Raw genomic sequence first — 19,237 nt, forward strand, 5'->3', positions numbered from 1 at the left:
TCTGGATGAGTTCTACTTTAAACCTGCTGCTGTTACTGCCTCTGTATTGGGGGGGCTCCCACAGGGGCCCCCAGGCAGGAACCCCCCCCACCAGCTAAGCCCTGCGGGAGGGGCTGCAGCCCCCACCCATCCCATTGCCCATGCGCCTTCCCCGCTCCCATCTCTGGAACGCAGATTTCAGGGCACCTGCTGTGGGCCAGGCACTGCAGAGCCCCTCCTCAACCCTCCTGTCTGGGGACATCCACAAAGCTTCTGACCCCTCTGGGCAGACAACAGCGTTCCCCCCGCGGTTCCCAGCCAAGAGGCTCACAGTCAGGTTCCAGTCATGGGAGTCTGCAGCAACAAGAAGGGGGCTGTTCTAGGGCTCACTCTCGAAGACCAGGATGCTTGGGTCCTTAAAGGAGGTGGCAGGCGCCCGGCCTCCCTGGGCTAGGGACGGGGGAGGGGTGCCTGCCGGCGGGAGGTCCATTAGCCGGCTAAGTGCTCCCAGGGAGGGGGGACCGCGCGGCATAAGAGTGGGTGAGGCGAAGCCAGGGCAGAGGGGGGCGGAAGAAGCTTTTCCTGCATTCAGCTAAGTGCGGCAGAAGAGGGTGGGCGACAGGGCTGTGCAGCGACCCCCCGGCCCAAGTCTAGCCCTCCGCTGGTACTGCAGCCCTAGTCGCTCGGAAACCTCAGTGGGCTGATCCCGGACCGCCTTAAGCAGCGCCCTCTACACCCAGTCCCTCCAGCTGCTCCCCAACAGCCACTTCGGCCCCCAGCGCCCTCCTTCCACCACAGGCCTGAAGAATCAGGTTCTGCTGAGCCCCGCAGCAAAGCCCCCGACCCGTCCGCGTGCCCCTGCCCCAATCCCCGCTCCGGCTGCAGTCGCCGCCCCGGCCGCCAGGGGGAGCCGACGCGGTGGGAGGGGGCGGGGCCCGGGAGGCCCCGCCCCGTCCCCGCCCCGCCCGGGCCCCGCCGAGGCTCTGGTCGGTCCGGGACAGACTGGCGGGCGGGCGGGCACTGACGCCGCGGGGCCGGAGCGGGCCGCGCGGTGGGAGCAGCGGCGCCGTCGGTCCCCGTCAGGGCTCCGTGGGTCCCCGACCCGCCCCTGGCCGGGCCATGGCGGGCGCCCAGCCCGGCGTCCACGCGCTGCAGTTGGAGCCGCCCACCGTGGTGGAGACCCTGCGGCGCGGGAGTAAGTTCATCAAATGGGACGAGGTAAGCGCGCGGGCCCCTGCTCCGCCCAAATCCCGGGACTCTTTCAGTCAAGCTCGACCAGACGCTGGGGACCCCCACCCCAGCCTCGCCTGCCCGTGGCGCCACCCTCATCCCAGTCTGGCGGCGCCCCGGAAACTTAAGTCCCCGATCGTCTCCGTAATGAAGACTTTGTCCCCCCAACTCCCAGTCCCTCAGCTCTGGAAAATTTGCCTCCACTCCTTGGCGCAGAGACTTTGAACCCCAATAAACCCCGTCCCCCCGTTTTCCATTCGTTCTTCCCACCGCTCCCTGCCAGACTAATTCTCGTTCCCCGATCCTGGCCTGGTGCCCAGACCCCTGCCCAGCACTAGACTCCCCGGCTGCAGGACCCTGACTTCCAGGCTGGCTGGGGGCATCCTCATTCTGGGTGTGTGCCAGGGCGCCCCTACTCTCCCCGGTGCCCTGCCTGAACAGTCCTCGTCCATTCATCATTTTTCCCCCTGTTCTGGTTGGCACCCCTTCGCCCTGCTTCTGGATCCCAGCCCAGCTCCCTGTTCAGATGGGAGCACCCAGTCACCCCCTAGTGGAGACTTTGCCCCCCAAGTTCCTCCACCCCTGGGAACTTTGCTCCCCACTCCTTAGGCTTGGGACCTTGAACCCCAATACATCCTGGCCCCCCTTTCCCTGTCCTGCCCCTGGTGCTTCCCAAATGCCTGTGTCCCCACCTTCGGCTGCCCATCCCCATCCTGGGTGCATCCTCTTCTGCCCCCTGGGCCCTTCCTTCCCTAGGGCCTCCACCCGGCCGGCCTGAGCTTCCTCGCAGCTCCTTCCCAGTCAGGCCACGGGCCTGGAAGACTCTGGGCTCTTTTCCGGCTGGGTGGGGCCCCGGGGTAGGCGTGGGAGCTGGGGGGAGGAGATGGGGGCGTGGCCTGAAGCGGCAGGTGTGCGAGGTGGGGTGCCTGGGGGCCCCAGGGGCCGGGGGAGACCCCTCCCCCCAGGCTGGCCTGAAGGGAAAAGTTTCTTCTTTTCATTCCACTGTGATAAACCCAAATAAGGAAGTGGGAACAGGGAGAGGGCCCTGGGGGTGGGGTGGGGGGTGCTGACGGAGGCTTGGGGCAGGAGAGCAGGGGACCTGGGCTGCCTTTGAGGTCCAGACCCCTGGGGAGAGGTGGGAGGGAAACACTAGGGGCAGTACCCATAGACTCCCCGCTCTGCACACCATTCGGGGGCCTCAGGCCCAGGGTAGGGTTGGGAATCCGGAGAAGTGCTGGGGCTGGGTGTCAGCACACTGAAGTGGGGAGGCCCATGCATCCCCAAATTTTGGGGGCCTTCTGTTCCCAGATGAACGCCCATCTTTTGTAAGCAAAGCCTGCCATGGGTGGGGCTGGTGCAATCCCCATTCTCCAGAAGAGGAAACTGAGGTCTGGAAAGCAGAGAGTTATCCCAGGCCCCACAATGGGGTGTGGCTGAGGCCAGGAGCCGGGAGCCTGGCAGAAGTCTCCGCTCCCTGCTTCCCAGGTCACAGGACGCTGCAACCACACTGCCTGCAAGCAGGTCCTGGCTCCAGTGATCTCGGGCAGGCTACGAAGTGTCCCTGTAACTCAGTGTCCTCATCTGTAAAATGGGAGTGACAACAGCACATGCCTCTTAGGCTGGTTAGGAGGCCTTTGTGTGCTCGAAGATGCTAGGTGCATAGAACTGTACCTGGTGCGCAGTAGGGGCGGTGTGCGTATATGAGATGTATTGATAATAATAGTATTGTCCACCAGACACTGAGATGCATTTTGGGGGTGGCACCCAACATGAGGTGGGGTCCTTTTCTGTCTGGAAGAACCTGGAATAGGAGGGTTCTACCTGTAGCCACTTGTTCACTCTGGCCCTGGCCGAGTCTAAGCCCTGGAGGACAGCCCCTCTGGCTGCTGGTCCTGAGTCACACAGGGTGGCCCTGGTAGTGTGCCAGGGACCGGGCCCTTCTTAGAAAATGGGGCTGGCATGCACTTCCCTGCCCCCTGCCAGCTGCACGGCTGTTTGAGGGAGGAAGAGCTCACTGCCCAGTCCTGAGAGTAGGGCAAGTCCCCTTCTAGGGGGACTGTTCTTCTACGAGATGGGGATGAGCTTTGAGGCTGTGAGGACCCCGGCAGATGTGGTAAGGTGGATAATGGGCTTTGAGGCAGACCACAGGGCTATCGTGATGTCCCAAGGGATGCAGAAGGGCAGTGGGAGTCAGACTTCTCACTTTCATGCCTTAAACATTCTGCAGTGGGGTGGATTGGGGGGCTGCCACTGTCACAGAGCTCTCAGCACTTCTGGGGAAACTGAGCCCAGGATGGGGGCTGGGGACCTCTTCCAGGGGGTGGGTCAGATTTCACGGGTGGAGAAGGAAGGGCAGGGTGTCCTGGCAAAGGGAACATGAGACAAAGCCCTGGGAAAGGTCAGGTAGAATCCTAGGGCCAGAGGGAGGTGAGGCTGGGAAGAGGCTTTGAGGTAGGTGTGACACTAAATGTCACACCTAGGACCTTGGCTTTGTTCTGAGGGCCACAGGCAGCCACACAGGACCTGTGGACTGGATGAGGTTTCGTCTTAGCTCATGGGCAGGAACTCTGGGGTGCATGATGGGAGGGCCCCAGGGGCCAGGCCTGCACCACAGCCCTCACTTCCTGACCCCTGCTGCCCTGTGCTGTCCTCAGGAGACCTCCAGTCGGAACCTGGTGACCCTGCGTGTGGACCCCAATGGCTTCTTCTTGTACTGGACGGGCCCCAACATGGTGAGGGTGGGCGCTGGTGCAGCTCGCTCAGGCCAAGGACCCCTGTCCCAGACCCCTGCCCTGCCCGTGGGGGTGGGGCCCGGCTGCAGGCTGACCTCTCCCACTGCTGCCCAGACAGGAAGTGCTCAGGGCAGGAGCTGAGGCTGGGGCTATAGCCAGGGGCTGGCCATTCCCTGGCCTGGGTAGAGAGCTTGGAAGCTCCTGGCTATTGCCCTGCAGCCTCTCATACTCAGCCTGGCATCTGGTTCCCCCCAGGAGGTGGACACACTGGACATCAGTTCCATCAGGGACACACGGACAGGCCGGTACGCCCGCCTGCCCAAGGTGAGTGATGAGCCTGGGAGTGAAGACCACAGCGAGGCTGTGCGGGAGCCCCCTCTTCACCCTTCGCTGTCACCTACTCAGGACCCCAAGATCCGGGAAGTTCTGGGCTTTGGGGGTCCCGATGCCCGGCTGGAGGAGAAGCTGATGACGGTGGTGTCTGGGCCAGACCCAGTGAACACAGTGTTCTTGAACTTCATGGCCGTGCAGGATGACACAGCCAAGGTGGGCTGGCACCAAGGGGACGAAGGGGGAGTCACTGTCTTATTCTGTGAGTCGGCCGTCACTTACCGAACACCTGCTGTGTTCTAGGCTGCTCTGTGACCTACTGTGTACCAGAGGCAGTTGTGGACCTGGGTTGTGGCTGGGCAGCCCCTGTGTCCCCCACTCACCGCCTCCCCGTGTATACTGGCCCCCCAGGTCTGGTCTGAGGAGCTATTCAAGCTGGCTATGAACATCCTGGCTCAGAACGCCTCCCGGAACACCTTCCTGCGCAAAGCGTGAGCCCCAGGCCACCCGAGGGGGAGCCGGGGGGTTCACGTGGCCGTTTTCAGGGTGTGACCTCTTCATCTGCCTTCCCAGATACACGAAGCTGAAGCTGCAGGTGAACCAGGATGGTCGGATCCCCGTCAAGAAGTGAGCACCCCTTCCCCCAGCACCTTCCTCCTGCCCTGACCTTGGTGACCTTTGTCCTCCACTGACCCTGAACCCCTCCTGCCCGCATCAGCATCCTGAAGATGTTCTCAGCAGACAAGAAGCGGGTGGAGACTGCGCTGGAATCCTGTGGCCTCAAATTCAACCGGGTGTGTGGGGTGGGGACAGGGGCGGGGTGGGGTGTCACGGTGGGCACCCACCCTTACGGGGCTGCCCGCCCCTGGCTTCTCACCCCACACTCCTCGACCTCCAGAGTGAGTCCATCCGGCCTGATGAGTTTTCCTTGGAAATCTTTGAGCGGTTCCTGAACAAGCTGTGTCTGCGGCCGGACATTGACAAGATCCTGCTGGAGATGTGAGTGGGCCCGGCCTGCCTCACAACCCCTGTGCTCTGTGTTTAGCTTCTGCTTAGCGTGCCTCTAGCTCAATGGGGAGAGGGGAAACTGGTGGGCCGGGTCCTGGAGCGCCAGGGGGCGGAGGGGTGCCCAGGGAGAACCTGTCGGTGATGTTCCTGTACTCAGACCCGCCGTTTCTGCCCCTCAGTTACAGGCAGCTCTGGGCTAACCCTGTGCCAGGGTTGGTTTAATCAGCCCACTCTGCAATGGGGTCCAAGCCTCAGGTGTGTTGTGAGGTCTGGAAGCGAGGGGTGGTGGGCTGACCACTTGGCAGCTCCTAAGCCCTGGCCATTGCTGGTGCCCACTAGTCTGCTGCCTTGACAATCCTGAGTAGTCAGGAGAGTAAAGGGGGAAACTGAGGCCCAGAGGTTGGCCATGACTCACCCAGAGTCCCACTCACTGGGTGCCAGATCCAGGGGCAGGCCTTCTGACTCCCTTGCCCAGGGCAAGGGCTTGGCGACGGGGTGGGAGCCCTGCCAGGCTCCATCCTGACCCAGCTTCCTGTCCCCTCCAGAGGCGCCAAGGGCAAGCCATACCTGACGCTGGAGCAGCTCATGGACTTCATCAACCAGAAGCAACGCGACCCGAGACTCAACGAAGTGCTGTACCCGCCCCTGCGGCCCTCCCAGGCCCGGCTGCTCATCGAAAAGTATGAGCCCAACCAGCAGTTTCTGGAGCGAGGTGAGCTGGCTGGGGTGCAGGTGGGTGGGGGCAGGTGGGACCCCAGCTGACCCTGCTGATCCTCTCCCACCCCAGACCAGATGTCCATGGAGGGCTTTAGCCGCTACCTGGGAGGCGAGGAGAATGGCATCCTGCCCCTGGAAGCCCTGGATCTGAGCACGGACATGACCCAGCCACTGAGTGCCTACTTCATCAACTCCTCGCATAACACCTATCTCACTGGTGAGTGGGGAGCAAGGGTGGCACCCGTGACCTCTGCCCTGTGACCCTTGCACAGCCCCACTCCTCCTGGGGCACAGTCCTTTTGGCCCATTTGCTCATTCATTGGCCAGTGCTGGGGATGCAGGCAGGGAACAGGCAGCCAGCCCTGAGCAGTGGGGCCTCATGGTGGCTTTCCCAGGGAAGGGCTGGAACAGCTTGTGTTAGGGCCTGCAGCAGGAGAGACTTCAGGGTCCTTTTTTTTTTTTTTTTTTTTTTTTGAGACAGAGTTTCGCTCTTGTTGCCCAGGCTGGAGTGCAATGGCACGATCTAGGCTCAGCGCAACCTCTGCCTCCCAGGTTCAAGCGATTCTCCTGCCTCAGCCTCCCAAGTAGCTGGGATTACAGGCATTCGCCACCACGCCCGGCTAATTTTGTATTTTTAGTAGAGATGGGGTTTCTCCATGTTGGTCAGGCTGGTCTCAAACTCTCAACCTCAGGTGATCCGCCTGCCTCGCCCTCCCAAAGTGCTGGGATTATAGGCATGAGCCACCTCGCCCAGCCTGCAGGGTGCTTTTAAGAGGCTGGAAGGGGGTTGGGTGCGGTGACTCATGCCTGTAATCCCAGAACTTTGGGAGGCTGAAGCAGGCAGATTACTTGAGCCCACGTTTTGAGACCAGTCTGGGCAACATAGCATGACCCCATCTCTACAAATAATTTTTAAAAAATTAGCTGGGCATAGTGGCGCATGCCTGTGGTCCTAGCTGCTTGGGAGGGTGAGGTGGGAGTATCGCTTGGTTCTGGGAAGGTTGAGGCAGGAGTAAGCTGTGATTGCACCACTGCACTCCAGCCTGGGTGACAGAGTGAGAGACCCTTTTCTAAAAAAAAAAATTAAATAAATAATAAAAAAGCAGAAAGGAAGCTGGTGCGGCAGGGTGCAGAGTGCTGGAGATAGGTGCCTGCTAAGAGAGGGAGAGCAAGGCAGGGCTAAGCCCAGGGGCCTAGAGGCACTTGGATTCATCCTGGGTGTGAGGAAGAGGCTTTTTGGAGGGTGAAGCAGAAGAGGTGATGTGACCTGATATGATATGTTTTTAGAAGGATGATGCCAGGTGCTCTATAGAGATTGGATTGAGGCCAGGCACAGTGGTTCACACCTGTAATCCCAGAACTTTGAAAGGCTGAGGCGTGTGGATCACCTGAGGTCAGGAGTTCGAGACCAGCCTGGCCAACATGGTGAAACCCCATCTCTACTAAAAATACAAAAATTAGCCAGGCATGGTGGTGGGCAACTGTAATCCCAGCTACTCGGGAGGCTGAGGCAGGAGAATCGCTTGAACCAGGGAGGCGGAGGTTGCAGTGAACCGAGGTTGTGCCACTGCACTCCAGCCTGGGTGACAGAGCGAGGTTCCGTCTCAAAAAAAAAAAAAAAAGAGATTGGATTGGAGGCAGGGAGGGCTGGAGTCTTCCACACAGGAGGTGGTGTGAGCTGTGCCAGGGCTGAGGTGGGTGGAGGGAGTGAGGAGAGGGAGGGATTGTTGAGGCAGTGGGGAGCTATAGTGAGTCTCAGGGATGACTCCCCCCAGCTCACGCTGGTGGGATGGACAGGTGGTGGGTATCCATCTGAGAGATGGAGAGCCCTCTGCAAATCCAGCATGTCCTGGTTCCAGGTGGGGCCGGGGTGGTGAGGAGCTGGGCTGGTGGGCGGCCTCGGTGACAGAGCCTCGCCGCCCCAGCGGGGCAGCTGGCTGGGACCTCGTCGGTGGAGATGTACCGCCAGGCACTACTATGGGGCTGCCGCTGCGTGGAGCTGGACGTGTGGAAGGGACGGCCGCCTGAGGAGGAACCCTTCATTACCCACGGCTTCACCATGACCACAGAGGTGCCTCTGCGCGACGTGCTGGAGGCCATTGCCGAGACTGCCTTCAAGACCTCGCCCTACCCCGTCATCCTCTCCTTCGAGAACCATGTGGACTCGTGAGTGAGCCCCTGGCATGAAACCCCATGGACCGGGGGACAGTCTTCCAGCTTCAGTGCTGTTGGACTGCTCAGGGACCTCCAACCCTGCGAACGGCCACTGACATGTCCCGTAGACCTCAGCTTCCTCTCTGGGGGAGGGATCTCTGACCTCTGACCTCGGTTCCGCAGGGCAAAGCAACAGGCAAAGATGGCTGAGTACTGCCGCTCCATCTTTGGAGACGCGCTACTCATCGAGCCTCTGGACAAGTACCCGGTACGGGAGCTCGGAGCGAGGGGGGTGGCATGGGGGCCAGGGTGCTGCGGACCCGGTCCAGGGCCCTGACTCGTCCATGCCTGCCCAGCTGGCCCCAGGCGTTCCCCTGCCCAGCCCCCAGGACCTGATGGGCCGTATCCTGGTGAAGAACAAGAAGCGGCACCGACCCAGCGCAGGTGGCCCAGACAGCGCCGGGCGCAAGCGGCCCCTGGAGCAGAGCAATTCTGCCCTGAGCGAGAGCTCCGCGGCCACCGAGCCCTCCTCCCCGCAGCTGGGTAGGCCCCAGCCCGGCCCGCCACCCTGACTTGACCCTAGCCTCTGGCCTCATGCTCCAGGCGCCGTGACACTTCATCCCAGACCCCCAGCCCACCCTCCTGCCTCGCTGTGCGCCTGTTCCCACAACCGGCCTGTCTCCTCACCACCTGTCGGCTGGTGTGGGGCCTCTGACCCCTGACCTCAGGTGCACGTCTCACCCAGCTGCACCCCAACTCCTGACTCCCAACCTCAGCCTCTCACCTCTCAGAGCCTTCCCACAACCCGGTGATGGCTCTGAAGGCTGACCTCTGACCTCAGTAAACCACATCCCACACTGGGTGTGACCTCAGACCCCTAAGCCCGCATTGAGTTCACCTGCCCAGTTGGTTATCATTTCAGCTGACCTCTGACCTCTCACCCCTGACTGTTCACCTCACTATGCCCCCTCCTTAGACATGGCTCTGACTTACCCCTGACCTGTAACCTCTCTATGTCATCCCTTACCCCGCTATTAGGGCTGTGGTATGCTACTTCCTGACTTCTCACCCCACTGAACCACCCTATCTGCCTCCCTGCTGAATATCACTGCAGACCTTTACCTTTGACCTATGACCCCTCTCAACCCATACTGGGTTAATACCATCTGACCTCGACCTCTTGGCCTCTCCCCAAGCCACACTGCCCTGAGAGTACCCCTTGAATTCCCCACTGAGTCACCTCGGCACACACTGGGAAAAACCCCTCCAGACTTCCTAAGCAGCTGTGTGGTCCTGACCCCTCACCCTGTGGCCCTGTCCTCTGCAGGGTCTCCCAGCTCTGACAGCTGCCCAGGCCTGAGCAATGGGGAGGAGGTAGGGCTTGAGAAGCCCAGCCTGGAGCCTCAGAAGTCTCTGGGTGACGAGGGCCTGAACCGAGGCCCCTATGTTCTTGGACCTGCTGACCGTGAGGATGAGGAGGAAGATGAGGAAGAGGAGGAACAGACAGACCCCAAAAAGCCAACTACAGATGAGGTCAGGCCCACAGGGTGGGCAGGTCGGGGAGGTAGCATCTATTTACCTCCCAGGGGGCTGGGTCTGACCATCAACAAGACTGACATCACCCCTGCCTCCTGGGGCTCAGTGTGGGTGTGAGTGAAGGTGGGAGGAGGGCTCTTCAGTCATCAGGCATGGAAACAAGCATACAGTTCTGCTGGTGATGTGGCCTGGGAGGTGCGAGTTAGGGTACAGAACTGGCAGAGGATAGGGAGTCTACCCTGGGCAGGGAGGTGGGGCAGGGAGACCTCAGGAAGGGGGACAGCATGTACAAAGGTCCTGGGGCAGGGCCAGGGGGTGCAGGAGCGGGGAGCATTGTCATGGGGAGCATTGAGTAGCTGTGAGGAATGGTACAGAAAAAATCAGTCTGAGCTGGGCGTGGTGGCTCACACCTGTGATCCCAGCTACTCGGGAGGCTGAGGCATGAGAATCCCTTGAACCTGGGAGGTGGAGGTTGCAGTGAGCTGAGATTGCACCATTGCACTCCAACGTGGGCTAAAAAGGGAGACACTATCTCAAAAAAAAAAAAAAAAAAAAAAGACATCATTGCTATAAAGACAATTACTGGAGCAATTAGTGAAATTTAAAGATGGACTACATATTAGATAATATGTTAATGTTTTGTTTCCTGAATTTAATTATTGTATTGGAGTTATAGAAGAGAATGTCCATATATGCTGAAGTATTTATGGGTAAAGGGTCATGATGTCTATAATTTACTCCCAAATGATTCAGTAAAAGTAATGATAATTATAACACCTATATGGGCCAGGCGAGGTGGCTCATGCCTGTAATCCCAGCACTTTGGGAGGCTGAGGTGGGCGAGTCACCTGAGGTTGGGAGGTTCCAGACCAGCCTGGCCAACATGGTGAAACCCCATCTCTACTAAAAATACATAAATTAGCCGGGCAAGGTGGCGGGCGCCTGTAATCCCAGCTACTTGGGAGGCTGAGGCAGGAAAATTGCTTGAGCTGGGTGGTGTCCAGGGCGCATCAGTGAGACCCCGGGGAGAAGACTGTCGGCACCACCAGCAGTGTGTATATAGTGCTGGGAAGAGGGTCAGCACCTCCTTCATGGGGGGCAGGTGAGGGAATGGCCAGCTGTGGCGGGAATGGCACTGCTGACCCTGGGTTGGGGCCCACAGGGCACAGCCAGCAGCGAGGTGAATGCCACTGAGGAGATGTCCACGCTTGTCAACTACATCGAACCTGTCAAGTTCAAGTCCTTTGAGGCTGCTCGAAGTGAGTGGGGGTGGGTGGCAGGCATGGGAGCTTGCCCAGCTCAGCCCTGCCAGGTCTGACGCCCTTTCTTGGCTCACCCCTAAGAGAGGAACAAATGCTTCGAGATGTCGTCCTTTGTGGAGACCAAGGCCATGGAGCAACTGACCAAGAGCCCCATGGAGTTTGTGGAGTATCCTTTGAAGGTGCTGTGGGCGGGCAGGCCAGGGTGGGGCGCTCGGAGGCCGGCTCCGGTGTTCTGTCCCCACATATGCCACCTGCACAGGGTGCTGGCCCTCCGGCGGCCCTCCTGCACCCTGGCCTGGGGCTTGGGCAGATCCAGGCAGTCTCAGGGGGCATGGCTAGGCTAAGAAACAGAGGCCGGGTGTGGGGGTCACAGGAGCACCTGGCTGAGGCCGGAGGTGGAGGCTGATGGGGTGGGCCCTGGCACCTGTGTGGCCCCTGACCACCAATCTCAGATACAACAAGCAGCAGCTCAGCCGCATCTACCCCAAGGGCACCCGCGTGGACTCCTCCAACTACATGCCCCAGCTCTTCTGGAACGTAGGGTGCCAGCTTGTTGCGCTCAACTTCCAGACCCTCGGTGAGCCCTGGCCCCCTCCATCTTGACCCCGACCCTCAGTCTTACTGACTTCTGACCCACGATCCTGCTGGTCTTGCCTGAATGGACCTCTGACCCTGTCTCATCCCAGATCCCAGGGGAACCCAGCTCCCGACTCACCCCGCCTCCTGCCCTTGGCTGATACCAGACCCCTCCCCTGTCTGATCTGTCCTGGATCCGGACCCTGATGCCATTTGAGCCCGCCCCTGACCCTGGACCTTGGATGCCATCTGACCTGATGATCTCCCATTCCCCACATGGCACCGTCCTGCCTGATCCCTGCCCCTGCTCGACGTGCCCGTGGCACCCCAGATGTGGCGATGCAGCTCAACGCGGGCGTTTTTGAGTACAACGGGCGCAGCGGGTACCTGCTCAAGCCGGAGTTCATGCGGCGGCCGGACAAGTCCTTCGACCCCTTCACTGAGGTCATCGTGGATGGCATCGTGGCCAATGCCTTGCGGGTCAAGGTGGGGCTTGCGGGCGGCTCAGGCCAGGGGTGTCCTGGGGGCAGGACTCTCAGCATCCGCCTCACCCTCCTTGGCCCACCCCCAGGTGATCTCAGGGCAGTTCCTGTCCGACAGGAAGGTGGGCATCTACGTGGAGGTGGACATGTTTGGCCTCCCTGTTGATACGCGGCGCAAGTACCGCACCCGGACCTCTCAGGGGAACTCGTTCAACCCCGTGTGGGACGAAGAGCCCTTCGACTTCCCCAAGGTGAGCCTGGCCCCTGCACCCGCCCAGGCACAGGCAGATCCAGCCCAGACCGCCCCGACTCTCAGGTGGGAGAACAGGAACCAGGCACACCGTTGGCGACTGGGGATCAGAAAGTGGGGGGTGCCATGGGTCCCCCAGGACCTGCCTGTCCGAGCGTCAGTCTCCCTGCCCTCCTTAGGGTAAGAGACCAGGGTGAGAAGGTGAGATGGGGGTTGGGGGGTGTCAGCTAGACGTCTTGTGTCCCCTGCGAGGAGTGGACACAGCCTACCCTGTCTCCGAGGCAGGAGCTGAGGTCACAACCCCAAGCTCATATCCGCTCTTCAGCACCCCGCACGGCCCTGCATGGACGCGGCCTCTGCTCCCAGCCTGGGCATGTGTGTTCTTGGTTTCCTGCTCATGACTCACTCCCGTTTCTAAACTGGCAATGACCAGAACTGTCTGTGGGGGCCCTGGAGGGGCCTGGCTGCCTGTCATCTTGCCTCAGGGTCCTGATGGCTGCAGTCATCCATTAGGCCAGGACATGGAAGTGGGGTCAGCCATCAGCTTAGTGGCAATGGTGACTGATGGTCAGTAGGTCAGCTCGTCTGAAGGTCTGCTTTGTTAAGCTTTGATGGCTGTGGTTAGCTGTGGCCTGGTAGCCACAGTGGCCCAGGGTCAGCCCTGTGGCTCAGCTCCAGTCTGGCCCACAGGTGGTGCTGCCCACGCTGGCTTCACTTCGCATTGCAGCCTTTGAGGAGGGGGGTAAATTCGTAGGGCACCGGATCCTGCCTGTCTCTGCCATCCGCTCCGGTGAGGCCTTGGTGGGCTCTGGGCAGCACAGCGGGCAGTGGGTAGGGCCCCCACCTGGCCCAGCAACCCAACGTTGCCTTCCTGACCACCCAGGATACCACTACGTCTGCCTGCGGAACGAGGCCAACCAACCGCTGTGCCTGCCGGCCCTGCTCATCTACACCGAAGCCTCGGACTACATTCCTGACGACCACCAGGGTGAGCTGGGGGTGGGCGGGGCCTGCCTGGCCAGGGAGTGTGAGGGACAAGGGCCACCCCCAGGGCCTGGGAGTGGCCGAGCTGGATGGCCCCGACTGAGTAGGGAACTGAGTAGGGAACAGATCTGAGGACAAGCTCTGGAATTCCTCATTGAGACCAGAGGTGGCGGGTGGGGGTGGCCTGGGGGCTCTGTCTCTGAGACCTTGGCCTTCTGCCTCCCCCCAGACTATGCGGAGGCCCTGATCAACCCCATTAAGCACGTCAGCCTGATGGACCAGAGGGCCCGGCAGCTGGCCGCCCTCATTGGGGAGAGTGAGGTGAGCCGGGGCAGGGCAGGGCTCAGGCTCACTGTGACCCAGGGGGCCGCTGGACATGACTGCTGTGGCCACATGAGGAGGGGGCTTCTGGTCTCTCTAGCGCAGTAGGCTTGGCAGCCCTGGGATTTTGAGGAGATGAAAACCACCCATTTGCATTCAGGAGGCCTTCAGGTCACACCTGGGCTGGAATTCCTCCAGCTCCATGTAGGCTTGGAGTGGGGGTACAGGGGTCTCAGCCACTTCATCAGGGCAGTGCGAAGCCACAGAAGCTGTTCAGACGTGGTGTCCTGGGAGTCATGAGGAGGGCAGTGGCTTCCGTGGGGAGGGGTCAGGCACGGAGGTTCACCTGCGCTTCCAGATCCAGTCCCCCCAGGGCCTGCGGCAGGCGGGCGGGGAGAGATGACTGCAATTAGGGCTGCCTGGAGCTGTTAGCGGAGAGGCTGGTGCCCACTCTGCGGTTGAGTCCTCTGTTGATTTAATCAGGAGCTCAGCAGCAAGGAAAATGAGCGACTGTAGGCAAGGCTGGGGGACACAGGCAGGGGAGGAGAGGAGGCTTGGGGCTGGGCCAGGCCTTTCCAGAACAATCTGGGAGTTACTGAGCACATGCAGTGGGCTGGCATTATGTTATCTTCCCCACAGCCCATGTGGAAAAGGGGTTTAGAAAGGCTTGATTTATAGCTCTTCTCATGCAGACAGCCTCCTGTTACAGAGCAGTCCAGCAGTGGCTTGGACTAAGGGAGGCTGACAGGGGTGCTAGGGGACCCAGGAGGTGGTAGAGGACAGAAGGGTCTGGAGGGAACAGCATTTCTGAAAAGAGCATTCTCCTTTCTCCCTATAGGCTCAGGCTGGCCAAGAGACGTGCCAGGACACCCAGTCTCAGCAGCTGGGGTCTCAGCCGTCCTCAAACCCCACCCCCAGCCCACTGGATGCCTCCCCCCGCCGGCCCCCTGGCCCCACCACCTCCCCTGCCAGCACCTCCCTCAGCAGCCCAGGTAAGGAGTGGCCTGGGTCGGGGGTGGGCTGCAGGGAGGCACCCCCCACCCTGTCCTCCAGCTCCTCACAGGGCCTCTGCTCCCCAGGGCAGCGTGATGATCTCATCGCCAGCATCCTCTCAGGTAGGGGGCGGGGTACCTGGAGGCAGGGGGCTGCCTTGCAGGTTCCCCCACCCCCCGCCCACCTTTGCTCTGCCGCTCCCAGAGGTGGCCCCCACCCCGCTGGATGAGCTCCGAGGTCACAAGGCTCTGGTCAAGCTCCGGAGCCGGCAAGAGCGAGACCTGCGGGAGCTGCGCAAGAAGCATCAGCGGAAGGCAGTCACCCTCACCCGCCGCCTGCTGGATGGCCTGGCTCAGGCACAGGCTGAGGGCAGGTGCCGGCTGCGGCCAGGTGCCCTGTGAGTGTCTGGGCCGCCTGTGTGCTATGTGTGCTGGGTGTGCTGATGTGAACATGGGGGTCGGTGGGCATGGAGAGATGGCAAGAGCTGCTCCTTGACCCCCAGGGAGGAGGGTTCAGTGCAAGGATGGAGGAGGCTTTCCACACCAGGCGTCCCTGTGTCCCCCAGGGAGTGACATCTCTTTTGAAGTCCATGAGGAGCATGTTGCCCAAACAGGCTCCCATCACTTGGGTGGAGCTAACAGGCCTCCTGGTTTGCATAACAGACCTGGCCCCATGGGATGGTGTCTGCCATCGCTTGCCAGGATGTGCCCCCCTACACACCCTCCCCATCCCAGTCCATGTGACGGGCCCAGGCATCACCCAGAGGGGTTCTCCTCGCAGAGGTGGGGCCGCTGATGTGGAGGACACGAAGGAGGGGGAGGACGAGGCAAAGCGGTATCAGGAGTTCCAGAACAGACAGGTGCAGAGCCTGCTGGAGCTGCGGGAGGCCCAGGTGGACGCAGAGGCCCAGCGGAGGCTGGAACACCTGAGACAGGTAGGGGGCCTGCAGTGGCCAGGGAAAGCCTGCTGGATAGACCCGTCGTCAGCCCGGCATCACCTGTCAGCTCCCTGTGTCCACAGGCTCTGCAGCGGCTCAGGGAGGTCGTCCTTGATGCAAACACAACTCAGTTCAAGAGGCTGAAAGAGATGAACGAGAGGTGAAAGCCGAGGATTGTCTATGGGAAGGGCTGGGGACTTCTAGTACCAGAAGGAGGGCAGAGTCTGTGCTTCTGCCGCTGACCCCTCCTCTTCCCCTGCCGGCTTCTCCAGGGAGAAGAAGGAGCTGCAGAAGATCCTGGACAGAAAGCGCCATAACAGCATCTCGGAGGCCAAGATGAGGGACAAGCATAAGAAGGAGGCGTAAGGGCACCGGGACCGGGGGCCATCTGGGTACTGGGGAGGCAGGGCAGGTGTCTGGGCCCCGAGCCATCCTGCGTTGCTCCCGTGCAGGGAACTGACGGAGATTAACCGTCGGCACATCACTGAGTCAGTCAACTCCATCCGTCGGGTGAGTCAGGCTCCCGGGCCACCCTACCCCACCTCCCTTCCTTCACTCATCAGACACCCATCTCCATGCCTGGCCTGGTGCCACGTTGCCCTCAAGGTTCTTCTAGGGCCTTTCTCAAGTGCCCAACAGCCCCAGGGTACCCACATCATACCCAAAGCCAACTGTCTGTACCAGTGTCCCTGGCTTTGGCGTCCTTGGGCCCAGTCCTCTCACAACCCTGATACATTGCCCTGGGAGCCTTCGCCCACCTGACTTCTTTTTCTTTGAGACAGAGTCTCACTCTGTCGCCCAGGCTGGAGTGCAGTGGCGCGATCTTGGCTCACTGCAACCTCTTGGGTTCAAGCAATTCTCTTGCCTCAGCCTCCCGAGTAGCTGGGATTACAGGCATCCGCCACCATGCCTGGCTAATTTTTTTATTTTTAGTAGAGATGGGGTTTCACCATGTTGGCCAGGCTGTTCTCGAACTCCTGACCTCAGGTGATCCGCCCGCCTTGGCCTCCCAAAGTGCTGGGATTATAGATGTGAGCCACTGCACCCGGCCTCGCCCACCTGACTTCTATACCCAGCCAGAGCCTCGAGGCTCTAGCCCCTCCCTCAGGGCCCCTCAGCTGAGCCCTTGCCCACCCCTGTAGCTGGAGGAGGCCCAGAAGCAGCGGCATGACCGTCTTGTGGCTGGGCAGCAGCAGGTCCTGCAACAGCTGGCAGAAGAGGAGCCCAAGGTGAGGCCATGGGCGAACAGGTGGGCAGACGGGGTGCAAGGCAGCCAGGCCTCGCCTGTGATGCCCATCCTTCTCCCACAGCTGCTGGCCCAGCTGGCCCAGGAGTGTCAGGAGCAGCGGGCGAGGCTCCCCCAGGAGATCCGCCGGAGCCTGCTGGGCGAGATGCCGGAGGGGCTGGGGGACGGGCCTCTGGTGGCCTGTGCCAGCAACGGTCACGCACCCGGGAGCAGCGGGCACCTGTCGGGCGCTGACTCGGAGAGCCAGGAGGAGAACACGCAGCTCTGAACTGGCTGAGCGAGGTGGCCACAGGGCCAGGGCGGGCGCTGGGTGGAGGGCAGGAGGCAATGACACTAATGCTTTTTTTTTTTTTTTTTAACTTTTTATCTAGAAATTTTATTTTTTTAAACCCGGGGCAAGTACCTCAGCTAACTCCCTTCATCCTCCTGGGGCCCCTCCTTCCTGCCCTCAGTCTTAGGTTAGGGCCTTGGTCAGGGCTTTGCTCCCTGTGACACCCACACCCTCGAGCTAGCAGCGTCTCCTCCCTTCCCCGGGAGAGCTGGCTGGAGACTTGGAGCTCCGGGAAGTAGGAGTCACATTTTTTTCTCTATTCTTTGGGGATTTTTTTTACATGAATAAAAGTGGATTTCAGGGACCCTGTGTGCAGTGTGATTTGGGGTGACAGGACTCTGGGCCCTAAGTTTCCTCATCTATAAAATGGACTTTGGGCATTTGGTGGGGTTGAGGTCACGCCTCCAGCCAAGGGCTGCTGGGTTGAACCTGAGCTTGCCCTGCCGAGTCTGCTGAGCTTCCGTGGCCTTCTGCTTGTGCCCTCTGCCCCCAAGCCGCTGTTCCTGTTCCCCCATCCCCATGACTTTCGTCTCTCCGAGGCTCTCCCTGTTCTCTCTTTTCTGAGGCTCAGGCCTCTGCTTCAGGAAGCCTTCCCTGCCCCGCTTCCTGTGGCCTGATATGACCCAAACGCCTAGTATCTTCCGCTGGGGCTGCTCTGGGCCCCCGACAGGCAGTTGACTCTATCAGGTGATGGATCGGCCAGGGTGGAGCAGGGCAGCTCAGAACCTGCCCAACACCGGGGGACCTGGGTCTTCAGAAATAGGTGGGCAGTAGGCCTGCCTGTGACTCTGGGGGAAGGGAAGTGGACAGTCACAGACACGCAGGGGCTGGGCCACCCAGCATCCCCTCATCCCTGTGAGGGAGATGTTATGCCTGTTTTACAGATGAGGAGACTGAGGCCCGGAGCCATCTGTCGTGTGCTAGGCCACAGCTAAGTCAAGACGTCCTGACCTGGAGGCAGGGCAGGCCTGGACCCTCCGTGGTGGACTGTCTTCAGCCAGCCTGGACCTGTCCCATGCCTCAAGACCAGCGAAAAGTGGCAGAGAGCCCACAGTGCGGGCTCCAGGGCGGGGCTGGGCTCGCAGCAGGGTCGGCTTGGCACCTCTTCAAGGCCTCTCCCAGCTTCCTGGCTCTTCCCAGGCTGCCCGCCTGCATCCCTCCTCCAGGGGAAGGCGGCCTCTTATCTGGGCTTATCTCCTGCCAATTGAGTATCTTCTTTGCTTTGTTTTTGCTGCAGCCTCAGGCAAACAGATGGGGTGGGGAGGCCAGGGAAACAGGCTCCGGAGTAGGGCCCTCCTCCCTCAGGGTCAATGCAATGGCCCCAGACTTCCTCACTTCTTCTGTGGGACGCTGCCCTATCCCCCAGTTCTGCTCACTCCAGTGTATTCCGTATCTAGGCTCCTCAGCAGCCAACTCCCACCTTCCTGACTCTAGCTGGTGTCCACTGAGGGACACACTCCAAGTCAGTTCCCAGGTCCTCAAATACCAGCTGAATGTCTAACTTCTGGGTGTGACATTCCAGCCCCTAGAAGCCTGGCCTCTGCTGCTCCCCTGTCCTTCCATGGGTCCACTCCTCCTTGCGCCGGGGGGGATGACCCTCACCTCACCTTCCGGTCGCAGCTCTAGCTGCCTCCTCCCTGAAGCCCTCTCTGACTGCCCTGCCGATTCCGGGCCCTCGGGAGCTTCCGCGAGCAGGGCCGTGGCGCAATGCATCTCTGTGCCCGGCACCAAGAACCGGCCCGGGTTATAGGGGGCGCCAATAAATCTTTCTGGAACGGAGCCCCCGCTCTGTCCGGGTCCCCGCATGAAGCCTCAGTTTCCAGCGACCGCGCTGCTGCCAGCCTGGCTCAGCCGCTCCCTCCCGCCCCGCGAGGTACCCGGGCGGCGCTGGCCCCGGGCCGGCCACACAGTAGCTGCTGGAAAGGGCTGACCCAAATAGGAGCGAGTGACCCTCTCTGGGGGGCCGCGGCACGGTTTGCAGAGCGCGGGATCGGGCTGCCGGCAGCGCTGCGGTCCCAATGCGCGTGCTGGGGACTTGGACCTGGGCCGCGCAGCCCAGGCCCGCGAGCCGCCGCGACCCCTTCCGTCTCTGTCGCTGGATGTCAGGCAGAGCCTAAGTTTCCCTCGTAAGACAGCGGCCTCTTTTGAAAGTATCCGTGAGAGCACTAC

General features: G+C 61.0%; 1 protein-coding gene across 4 annotated transcripts, besides 8 other annotated features; it reads left to right on the forward strand.

Moving 5' to 3' along the window:
- Nucleotides 791-1,260: a silencer, noted in NCBI's record as "silent region_3472". NCBI's record gives its function as "represses an Ori minimal core promoter by ATAC-STARR-seq in GM12878 lymphoblastoid cells {active_cell/tissue: GM12878}" and the evidence as "EXISTENCE:reporter gene assay evidence [ECO:0000049][PMID:35858748]".
- Nucleotides 791-1,711: a biological region, named in NCBI's record as "H3K27ac-H3K4me1 hESC enhancer GRCh37_chr11:64019089-64019734".
- PLCB3 (phospholipase C beta 3) lies at nt 979-18,901 on the forward strand. 4 transcript variants are annotated; one of them, NM_001316314.3, is made up of 32 exons: nt 979-1,197; nt 3,864-3,941; nt 4,197-4,265; nt 4,347-4,487; nt 4,683-4,762; nt 4,845-4,898; nt 4,990-5,065; nt 5,170-5,270; nt 5,825-5,991; nt 6,067-6,213; nt 7,922-8,162; nt 8,334-8,418; nt 8,507-8,693; nt 9,478-9,683; nt 10,849-10,945; nt 11,030-11,114; nt 11,401-11,525; nt 11,856-12,010; nt 12,096-12,257; nt 12,947-13,046; nt 13,140-13,244; nt 13,470-13,561; nt 14,400-14,553; nt 14,641-14,676; nt 14,759-14,951; nt 15,335-15,488; nt 15,575-15,651; nt 15,764-15,853; nt 15,944-16,001; nt 16,634-16,720; nt 16,802-17,019; nt 17,953-18,847. In NM_001316314.3, exons 1-31 carry the CDS (start codon nt 1,099-1,101, stop codon nt 17,003-17,005), a joined length of 3,705 nt encoding a protein of 1,234 aa, NP_001303243.1. In that variant the 5' UTR covers nt 979-1,098; the 3' UTR covers nt 17,006-17,019; nt 17,953-18,847. The 4 variants fall into 4 exon arrangements, with proteins under 4 accessions (NP_001303243.1, NP_000923.1, NP_001171812.1 ...); NM_000932.5 differs by lacking the exon at nt 17,953-18,847 and having other exon boundaries at nt 16,802-17,372; NM_001184883.2 differs by lacking the exons at nt 3,864-3,941; nt 4,197-4,265 and having other exon boundaries at nt 4,401-4,487; nt 16,802-18,901.
- Nucleotides 1,066-1,711: an enhancer, noted in NCBI's record as "H3K27ac-H3K4me1 hESC enhancer chr11:64019089-64019734 (GRCh37/hg19 assembly coordinates)". NCBI's record gives its function as "activates a minimal SCP1, AML or CMV promoter by ChIP-STARR-seq in naive H9 embryonic stem cells {active_cell/tissue: H9 hESC(naive)}" and the evidence as "EXISTENCE:reporter gene assay evidence [ECO:0000049][PMID:30033119]".
- Nucleotides 1,712-2,358: an enhancer, noted in NCBI's record as "H3K4me1 hESC enhancer chr11:64019735-64020381 (GRCh37/hg19 assembly coordinates)". NCBI's record gives its function as "activates a minimal SCP1, AML or CMV promoter by ChIP-STARR-seq in naive H9 embryonic stem cells {active_cell/tissue: H9 hESC(naive)}" and the evidence as "EXISTENCE:reporter gene assay evidence [ECO:0000049][PMID:30033119]".
- Nucleotides 1,748-1,961: a silencer, noted in NCBI's record as "fragment chr11:64019771-64019984 (GRCh37/hg19 assembly coordinates)". NCBI's record gives its function as "represses an EF-1alpha promoter that drives an FKBP-Casp9 reporter gene in an ReSE screen in K562 erythroleukemia cells {active_cell/tissue: K562}" and the evidence as "EXISTENCE:reporter gene assay evidence [ECO:0000049][PMID:32094911]".
- Nucleotides 9,301-9,350: an enhancer, noted in NCBI's record as "active region_4892". NCBI's record gives its function as "activates an Ori minimal core promoter by ATAC-STARR-seq in GM12878 lymphoblastoid cells {active_cell/tissue: GM12878}" and the evidence as "EXISTENCE:reporter gene assay evidence [ECO:0000049][PMID:35858748]".
- Nucleotides 9,391-9,490: an enhancer, noted in NCBI's record as "active region_4893". NCBI's record gives its function as "activates an Ori minimal core promoter by ATAC-STARR-seq in GM12878 lymphoblastoid cells {active_cell/tissue: GM12878}" and the evidence as "EXISTENCE:reporter gene assay evidence [ECO:0000049][PMID:35858748]".
- Nucleotides 18,941-19,060: a silencer, noted in NCBI's record as "silent region_3473". NCBI's record gives its function as "represses an Ori minimal core promoter by ATAC-STARR-seq in GM12878 lymphoblastoid cells {active_cell/tissue: GM12878}" and the evidence as "EXISTENCE:reporter gene assay evidence [ECO:0000049][PMID:35858748]".

Source organism: Homo sapiens, chromosome 11 (genome assembly GCF_000001405.40).
Source record: "Homo sapiens chromosome 11, GRCh38.p14 Primary Assembly".
NCBI lineage: Eukaryota > Metazoa > Chordata > Mammalia > Primates > Hominidae > Homo > Homo sapiens.